The sequence below is a fragment of the Homo sapiens genome, chromosome X, assembly GCF_000001405.40.
Source record: "Homo sapiens chromosome X, GRCh38.p14 Primary Assembly".
Lineage (NCBI taxonomy): Eukaryota > Metazoa > Chordata > Mammalia > Primates > Hominidae > Homo > Homo sapiens.
This window is the reverse complement of record NC_000023.11, coordinates 1,656,581-1,666,761: the sequence shown is the minus strand read 5'-3', so window position 1 is coordinate 1,666,761 and position 10,181 is coordinate 1,656,581. Positions and strand designations below refer to the sequence as shown.

Genomic DNA, 10,181 nt, shown 5'->3' with positions numbered 1-10,181 from the left:
GCAAGAAGGACCCTCCCCTAGAGCCTCCACAGGGAGTGTGGCCCTGAGACTCCTGGTCTACAGGACTGAGAGAGAATGAGTTTCTGTTGTTTCAATCCCCTAGTACCTATCAGTGAGACTTTATTTGGAAATACGGTTTCTGCAGATATAATTAATTCAAAAGCTCGAGATAAGATCATCCTGGACAACAGTGGACCCTAACTCTAATGACCACAGTCCTCATAAAAGACAGACGAGGAGACACGGACACAGAGGAGAGGGCCATGTGGAGACGGAGGCAGAGACCGGAGTGATGCGGCCACAAGCCCAGGGACACCTGGAGCCCCCAGGAGCTGGGAGAAGCAGAAAGGACCCTCCCCTAGAGCCTCCAGAGGGAGCACGGCCCTAAGACACGTTGTTCTGAGACTTCTGTTCTCTAGGAGTGAGAGAGAATGAGTTTCTGTTGCCTTAAGCCCCTAGTACCTGTCAGTGACACTTTATTTGGAAACAGCGTGTCTGCACACATAATTAATTCAAGGAGCTTGAGATGAGATCATCCTGTAGGAGAGTGGACATAAATCTAATGACCACTGTCCTCACAAGAGACAGAAGAGGAGGCCGGGAGTGGTGGCTCACGCCTCTAATCCCACCACTTAGGGAGGCCGACGCGGGCAGATCACGAGGTCAGGAGATCGAGACCATCCTGGCTAACACGGTGAAACCCCGTCTCTACTAAAAATATAAAAAAATTAGCCGGGCGTGGTGGCGGGTGCCTGTAGTCCCAGCTACTCAGGAGGCTGAGGCAGGAGAATGGCGTGAACCCGGGAGGTGGAACTTGAAATAAGCCGAGATGGCGCCACTGCACTCCAGCCTGGGCGACAGAGTGACACTCAGTCTCAGAAAAAAAAAAAAAAAAAGAGAGACAGAAGAGGAGACACAGACACAGAGGAGAAGGCCACGTGGAGACGGAAGCAGAGACTGCAGCGATGAGGCCACAAGCCCAGGGACACCTGGAGTCCCCAGGGGGTGGGAGAGACACGATGGACCTTCCCCTAGAGCTTTCGAAAGGAACTGGATGCAACTGAAATGGATTGAACTGTAGTCCAGCAAAAGCTACCTGGCAATGCCTCATGCACAGTCCCTCTCTGCATCTTGAAAGCCAGCTGTATAGCCTCTTCCAATCTCTCTGACTCTGCCCATGCTACCTCCTCTTCTGAGAACCCTGTGAAGACACTGGGTCCATCCAAGATGCAGGATCATGTCCCATCTCCAGATCCTTACCTTTATCGCACCTGCAACATTCATTTTGCCACGTGAAGTCACATGTTCACAGGTGCAGGGATCCAGGAATTAGGATGTGGCCATCATCATGGGTGTTATTTTCCCTACCCATATACCCCAATCCGAGGGATGAACGATAGCTCTGAAGTCAGTGATTATAGCAAGATTACCACCTACCCTTGAAAACATCAAATGTATTGACTTTTAGAGGTTGTGAGGGACCATTCCCTCAAGTCCAAAGACACAAAGACACAAAGGGTCCTTGTCTTGACAAACCCCATCATCCTCGTGTTTTGGAGGGTTTTGTTTGTTTGTTTGTTTTATTGAGATGGAGTTTCACTCTTGCTGCCCAGCCAGTGGCGCGATCTCGACTTACCGCAACCTCCACCTCCCGGGTTCCAGCAATTCTCCTGCCTCAGCCTCCCGAGTAGCTGCGATTACAGGCACCTGCCACCACGCCCGGTTAATTTTTGGATTTTTAGTAGGGACGGGGTTTCACCATGTTGACCAGGCTGGTCTTGAATTCCTGACCTCAAGCGATCCACCCACATTGTCCTCTGAAAGTGCTGGGATTGCAGCTGTGAACCACCGTGCCCTGCCAGCTTTAATGTTAATAGCTGTATTTGTGGTATTTGAATATGTGTTTTTGTTAACCTGACCTGCAATTCCCTAGAGCACTTTTTAAAAGCCTGCTTTATCAAATCTGAAGTTGTACGGAGAAAGGTGATCTTTCTGGTACTTGCTGGAGGTGTTCTATTTTTTTTTTTTGTTAATGTCTCTCAAACTGCCACATGAATGCACCACTTTAAAAGGACTGAATAGTCAAATGTTCATCAAAGCAAAATACAGATACTCCTTGACCTAAAATGGCTTACGTCCTGATAAACCCATTGTAAGTTGAAAAGATCCTTGCTTGAAAAGACATTTAATACAGCTAGCCTTCCAAACATCATCGCTTAGCCTGCCTTAAACACAGTACTCACATTTGTCTACAGTTGGGCAAAATCACCTAACGCAAAGACTATTTTAGAATACAGTATTGACTGTCTCATGTAATTTATTAAATACTGTGCATAACATCAATTTTTTGTTTGTTTGTTTTGAGACAAAGCCTTTCTCTGTTGCCCAGGCCACATTGCAGTGGCGTGATCTCGGCTCACCGCAACCTCCACCTCCCGGGTTCAAGCGATTCTCCTGCCTCAGCCTCCTGAGTAGCTGGGATTACAGGTGCCCGCCACCACACCCTGCTAATTTTTGTATTGTTAGTAGACACGGGGTTTCACCATTTTGGCTAGGCTGGTCTCGAACTCCTGACCTCAGGTGATCCGCCTGCCTTTTAAAAATTAAAAAAAAAAAAGACAAAGAGAGTCTGTCTCTGGAGTGCAGTGGCTGGAGTTCAATGGCGCGATCTCAGCTCACTGCAACCTCCGCCTCCCAGATTTAAGTGATTCTCGTGCCTCAGCCTCCTGAGTAACTGGAATGGCAGGCACTTGCTACCACGCCCGGCTAATTTTTTTTGTATTTTTAGTAGAGACAGGGTTTCACTATGTTGGCCAAGCTGGTCTCAAACTCCTGAGCTCAAGTGATCCACCCGCCTCGTCCTCCTTAAGAGTTGGGATTACAGGCATGAGCCACCACACACAGCCTGAATAAAGTTTTGACAGCATTACTGATTACTGTTCTGAGTGACATTTATTATTTTATATTTTTTTCTTCCCGGAGAGCTATTATGTCCATATGAAAACAATTATTAAAGCGTACAAAATTACAGCTAGACACGTGGAATAAACTCTAGTGTTCTAAAGCCCTGTAGAATGATGATAGTTAACAATAATATATTCTACAGTTTCAAATAGTTGGAAGGAGGATATTAAATGTTCCCTACACAAAGAAATGATGGGCATGGTAGCTCATGCCTGTAATCGCAGCACTTTGGGAGGCCGAGGCAGGTGGATCCCCTGAGGTCAGGAGTTCCAGACCAGCCTGGCCAACACGGCAAAACTCTGTCTCTACTAAAAAAACAAAAATTAGCTGGCTGTGGTGGCACATGCCTGTAATCCCAGCTACCTGGTAGGCTGAGGCAGGAGAATTGCTCAAACCCTGGATGTGGAGGTTGCAGTGAGCCGAGATCATGCCATTGCACTGCAGCCTGGATGAGAGAGCGAGAGAAGAAAGAAAGACAGAAAGAAAGAGAGAGAGAGACCAAAAGAGAGAAAGTGAGACAGAGAGACAGAAAAAGAAAGAGAGAAAGAAAGGGGAGAGAGAGAGAGAGAGAGAACGGAAGGAAGGAAGGAACAAAGGAAGGAAGGAAAGGCAGTTCGACGTGATGGACATGCTATCAATCATCTCATTATAGATTATATGGATCTGATCATTAATTATACATTGATCATTATATGCTATAAGGATCTGATAATTACACACTATATGGATAGAAACATCACTATGTATCCCGTGAATATGTGCCATTTTTCTCAATTAAAAAGAATAAAATAAGGCCGGGTGCGGTGGCTCACGCCTGCAATCCCAGCACTTTTGGGAGGCCGGGTGGATCACGAGGTCAAGAGTTCGAGATCAGTCTGACCAACATGGTAAAACCCCGTCTCTACTAAAAAATATATATATATATATATATATATATATACAAAAAAATTAGCCGGGTGTGGTTGCGCTTGCCTGTAATCCCAGCTACTGAGGAGGCTGAGGCAGGAGAATCGCTTGAACTCGGGAGGTGGAGGTTGCAGTGAGCTGAGATCGCACCACTGTGCTCCAGCCTGGGAGGCAGAGTGAGACTGTCTCAAAAAATAAAAAATTTTTTAAAAAAAGAATAAAAATTTTAAAAAGCACAGAATTTGTATAACTCATTCTGACAAATAAAAGTCACTTGTTCTTTTTTAATCGAATAAATGGATACGAGGTTTTGCTATGTTGCCCACGTTGGTCTCAAATTCCTGGGCTCAAGTGATTCTCCCACCTCGGCCTCCCAGAGTGCTGGGATTACAGGCGTGAGCCACTGTATACGACCTAAAAGTCACTTTTTTTTTTTTTTAATACGGAGTCTTGCTCTGTTGCCCAAGCTGGAGTGCAGTGGCTCGATCTCGGCTCACTGCAAGCTCCGCCTCCCAGGCTCAAGTGATTCTCCTGCCTCAGCCTCCCAAGTAGCTGGGATTACAGGCACCCCCCACCACGCCAGGCTAATTTTTGTATTTTTATTATAGACAGGGTTTCACCATGTTGGCCAGGCTGGTCTCGAACTCCTGACCTCAGGTGATCCTCCCACCTTGGCCTCCCAAAGTGCTGGGGTTACAGGCGTGAGCCACTGCGTACGGCGTAAAAGTCACCTATTTTTAAACAAAAAACAAAAGAACAATGTGACCGAAGAGAACAGCAGTAAATGACACAGAACTCACTCTGCTGCTTTCACAAACCCTCCATGCCCCGCATCTCACCGGATCCCCGGAAGCTGGTGGCCCCAGATGAATTTGTAAGCTTCCTTCCTGCCAATGCTTCGTGCAAGTGCACGCCGGGGCAAGCCCATCGAGAAGCCGAATTGCTTCTGCCGCTTCCCCTCTAAGCGCTGTTGAAACTTGGCAGCAACGTGCCAGGGGGGACCCCTTCCCACTGTGCAGGCGCTGACGTGATTCACAGGGTTCGCTAGATTCGCACTCAACCCAACTCTGGGCTGTGGTGGGCCCTGTGTGATTGACAGCTGCCTGGCTCTATAGCGGGGTGACTTCAGCTAGACTCAGCCAATGGGGAGCAGGTGCAGGGGCTAGGGGGCGGGAAGAGAGAGAGAGAGAGAAGGCCCTGTGTAATTGACATCTGCCTGGCTCTGCTTGACATCACCTGGCTGGGTGACTTCATCAGGGTTCAGCCAATGGGGAGCAGATGCAGGGGCTAGGGGGCGGGAAGAGAGAGAAGGCCCTGTGTAATTGACATCTGCCTGGCTCTGATTGACAGCACCTGGCTGGGTGACTTCAGCAGGGCTCAGCCAATGGGGAGCAGGTGCAGGGGCTAGAGGGCGGGAAGAGAAGGCCCTGTGTAATTGACAGCTGCCTGGCTCTCATTGACATCACCTGGCTGGGTGACTGCAGCAGGGCTCAGCCAATGGGGAGCAGGTGCAGGGGCTAGAGGGCGGGAAGAGAAGGCCCTGTGTAATTGACATCTGCCTGGCTCTGATTGACATCACCCTGGCTGGGTGACTTCAGCAGGGCTCAGCCAATGGGGAGCAGGTGCAGGCACTAGGGGGCGGGAAGACAGAGAAGGCCCTGTGTAATTGACATCTGCCTGGCTCTGACTGGCGTCACCCTGGCTGGGTGACTTCAGCAGGGCTCAGCCAATGGGGTCCAGGCGCAGGGGCTAGGGGGCGGGAAGAGAAAGAAGGCAAAGAACGGATTCCTTCTCCTCTACCTTTAGCCCTGGGCGTCAGGACTTGATAGAACAGCCCCTCCCTTGCTCCTTGAGGTCTGGGATTTGCATCAGCCTCCCTGGCGTTTTCTTCTCATTTGACCCGCCCCCCCTTCTCAGTGACCCTCCTTTTCTCCAAGGCTCTGACGCCACGGAGCAAGAAGTCAGTTCGCCGCCTGTACACTGACCTATGTAGGCAGATATTATTATTATTATATTATTATTACATTTTTATTATTATATTTATATTTCATTTTACTTTATTTTACTTTTTATCTTATTTTATTTTAGAGACAGAGGCTCGTTGTGTTGCCCAGGCTGTAGCGCAATGGTGCAATCTCGGCTCACTGCAACCCCCAACTCCCGGGTTCAAGCGATTCTCCTGACTCAGCCTCCTGAGTAGCGGGGATTACAGGCATGCGCCACCAACCCTGGCTAATTCTTGTATTTTTCAGTGGAGATGCGGTTTCTCCATGTAGGCCAGTCTGGTCTCGAACTCCTGACCTCAAGCGATCCGCCCGCCTCGGCCCCCCAAAGTGCTAGGATTACAGGCTTAAGGGTCATTTTTAAGAAGACTCCTTGTTCAAAGAAGTCTGCTGAGCAGTGAGTTTGTGCTAAAACAGCTTGCGAAGCTCGGAGAGGAGACTGTTCGCATTCCCGAACTCGTGTTGGGTCACACACGCCGCTGTTGGGAAGACAATGGCACCTGCCGCTCAGACCCATCGAGGCCGGACAGGGGTTTTATCAAGGTCAGCCCCAGGTCGCTTCCCGTCTGTAAATGGAGTCTCGTGGTGCCCGAGGTCGGGGGTGGCGATGCCCGGAGATCGTGCAACGGCTCCTGGGAGGTAGGAAGATCTCTGGTGCCGTCCGGGTGCACTCTGGGTGTGAGCACTAACCAGCGAGCCCCCTGGCCTGCAGAGACGGCCTTTCCTCCACACTCAGGTCACCTGTGAGGAATGTACCTATGGCCCAAGAAGCCGAGATGGCCCAGAGCGCAGGGCTCTCTCGGGGCAGGTTGTGCTTTTTCACACCTCGGACGCTGCCCTGCTGTTCCCTCCGCTACCACATCCACCCAGGGCTGAACGCACCAGGCTCGTTGCCACCAGGCCTCACCTGGGACCACACAGAGAGTGTCTGCCTGTGCCCCTCCTCTCACACACACAAATCAGCATGTGCCTATACACATACGCACTTGCACATACACGCACACACATAGATGCACACATGCAGACACACGTATACACACATGTGCAAATGCTCACATTCACATACACAAATACAAATACAAATGCATACAGACACTAACAGGCATACACACTCATACATATCCATATCTACACACACCCAAATATACACATGCACAAACACATACACACAAATGCATACAGACACCAGCATACACGTGCATACATATCCATATGTACACACACAAAGGCACACATGCACATATGCACACATACACACAAATGCATACAGACACTAATATACATGCTCATACATATCCATATCTACACACGCAAATATACACATGCACATACACACAAATGCATACAGACATTAATATACACGCTCATCCATATCCATATCTACACACACAAATGCACACATGCACATATGCACAAATGCATACACAAACAACTGCACACACACTAGCATGCATATACACACACATGCACACACACAGACACCCAAATATACACATGCAGAAACACACTCATGTGCAAATACATAATACACTTACACAGACATAAATACACAAATATAAACACACACATTCACATGCATACACAAAGAGGCAAACACACACAGACAGCCATACATATACAAACACACATCCACAAAGACACACACATATGTACAGACACAAACATAATCACAAGCAAAGATAACACACAAACACATACACAGACACACGCAGAAACACACACGCATACACACATTCCTGAAGCTCTCCACCTCTACCAGCCACACAACCATATGCACACACATACACATTTCTTAGTTAAGAAAAATAGACCGGGCGCGGTGGCTCACGCCTGTTATCCCAGCACTTTGGGAGGCTGAGGTGGGCGGATCACGAGGTCAGGAGTTCGAGACCATCCTGGCTAACACAGTGAAACCCCGTCTCTACTAAAAATACAAAAAATTAGCCAGGCGTGGTGGCTCATGCCTGTAATCCCAGCACTTTGGGAGGCCGAGGCGGGGAGATCGCGAGGTCAGGAGATCGAGACCATCCTGGCTAACACAGTGAAACCCCGTCTCTACTAAAAATACAAAAAATTAGCCGGGCGTGGTGGCGGGCGCCTGTAGTCCCAGCTATTCGGGAGGCTGAGGCAGGAGAATGGCGTGAACCCGGGAGGCGGAGCTTGCAGTGAGCTGAGATCGCCCCACTGCACTCCAGCCTGGGCGACAGAGTGAGATTCTGTCTCAAAAAAAAAAAAAAAAAGAAAGAAAGAAAGAAAAATAGAAAAACACATCTTTAGAAACTATCACCTGCAAACTGCAAAACAAACAAACAAACAAACAAACAAAAAAGTGTGCTGGGGCTTGGATACCACAACTGACAACCTAAATTATTGAGGTAGCAAACTGCCTAGAAGAGGTAGACATTTGCGGCCCTGAAATCAGGACCCGGCGGTGAGAGACACCGCCTGCGTTGTTTTTACAGTTTTATTAGCCACATCCCTCAGGGAATCTCACCGCAGGTCTCAGGAGCTCTCTCTAATCTTGTTAACCTTCTGCGCCTCTCCTCCCGGAGTACAAACTAATCTTTCTTAATGCAAGAGGACAGGGCAGCTTTGGAAAGGCCGTCACCAGACAGCCAGCGTTCCCCATCCTCACAACTGGACCTTGGAGAGCTTTGGTGTATGGAAACCGGCTCCCCTGGAGGGGGGAGGTGAAACGTTGAAACCCTGACAGACGGTGTCACTGAGCTTAGAGCTCATGTTTCTAGAAAAGGCAACAGATGCAGTGTCTGATGACGAAGCTTAATTTGGGATGTGCTGAGCAGGAATTATTTAAACCAATCCGTTGATGAATTTGTCTTTAAGGAATATGTCCTTTCTCTCGTGAGTCACTCAGGCTCCTGGACACCTGCCTGCCAGCCCTCACTGAATCTCCCCAGAGGCTCTTCATGTCTGCTGCCTGACAATTTTCTCCAGAGTGTACAAAAGCAAAGGAGAGAGCTCCCCTCCCAGACTGCTGGAGGGATGTGGGGACTTACCGCATGGCTGATGCTCTCAGGTTCCAGCCAGACTTAATGTCCTAAAATGCACCCAAGACAGGCAGGCCTGGGTCCAGACGGCCAGCGGGGAGGGCTGCCCGGGCTCGTCTGCAGAGCCCGGAAAAGGAGGAGGAGGTGAACAGAGGAAGGAGGAAGGGTGATGGGGCCTGCAGGGTGTGATATGACGTGAGTTATCACCTCCCTTTGTGCTGCTGCTGTTTCTTACTGTGGGAAAATACCCATCACACACAGTTTGCCATTTTAAAAATTGCACAATGAAGAGACGATTTAGTGCACTGAGCATTTTACACAACCACCGGCCCTAGCTAGTTCCAGAACACCTTCGTAACCCAAAAAAAAACACCCCATACCCATTAAACCGTCACTCCCCAGTCTCCCTGCTCTCAGCCTTAAGCAATCACCCATCTGCTCTCTGACTCTGCAAGCAGTCTTATTCTAGACACTTCATGCAAATGATATTGTGCCATTTTGCACTTTTGTGCCTGGGTGTTTTTTGTTGTGGTGGTGGTGGTGGTTGTTTTGTTGTTTTTGTTTTCACTCCGTTACTTCTACACCAAACTAATACATGATGTATTCAGTCAGAGGCTATCAAGGACTCAAAAGAATACAACCTTTTCTCTTTTTTTTGAGATGGAGTCTCACTCTGTCACCCACGCTGGAGTGCAGTGGCGTGATCTCGGCTCACTGCAACCTCCGCCACCCGGGTTCAAGCGATTCTCCTGCCTCAGCCTCCCGAGTAGCTGGGATTACAGGTAACTGCCACCATGCCCGACTAATTTTTTTTGTATTTTTAGTAGAGATGGGGTTTCACCATGTTGGCCAGGCTGGTCTCAAACTCCCGACCTCAGGCGATCCACCCACCTCGGCCTCCCAAAGTGCTGGGATGACAGGCGTGAGCCACCACACCTGGCCCCCATTTTTATGGTTATTTCTTGATGATATGCTAAACTAGGAGTGGATTATTCATATGGACTCTTTTTAGACCATATACATTGTATTAGTCAGGGTTCCTTAGAGGAATAGAACTAATAGAAGATATATACACACACACGCACACACACACACACATATATATGTATTGTGTGTGTATATATATGTGTGTGTGTATATGTGTGTATATATGTGTGTATGTGTGTATATATGCGTATACACACGTGTATATATGCGTGTACACACGTGTATATATGTGTGTACACACGTGTATATATGCGTGTACACACGTATATATGCGTATACACACGTGTATATATGCGTATATGCACATATGTGT

General features: G+C 48.5%; 2 annotated features.

Moving 5' to 3' along the window:
- Positions 8,463-8,962: an enhancer, noted in NCBI's record as "H3K4me1 hESC enhancer chrX:1776693-1777192 (GRCh37/hg19 assembly coordinates)". NCBI's record gives its function as "activates a minimal SCP1, AML or CMV promoter by ChIP-STARR-seq in primed H9 embryonic stem cells {active_cell/tissue: H9 hESC(primed)}" and the evidence as "EXISTENCE:reporter gene assay evidence [ECO:0000049][PMID:30033119]".
- Positions 8,963-9,464: an enhancer, noted in NCBI's record as "H3K4me1 hESC enhancer chrX:1776191-1776692 (GRCh37/hg19 assembly coordinates)". NCBI's record gives its function as "activates a minimal SCP1, AML or CMV promoter by ChIP-STARR-seq in primed H9 embryonic stem cells {active_cell/tissue: H9 hESC(primed)}" and the evidence as "EXISTENCE:reporter gene assay evidence [ECO:0000049][PMID:30033119]".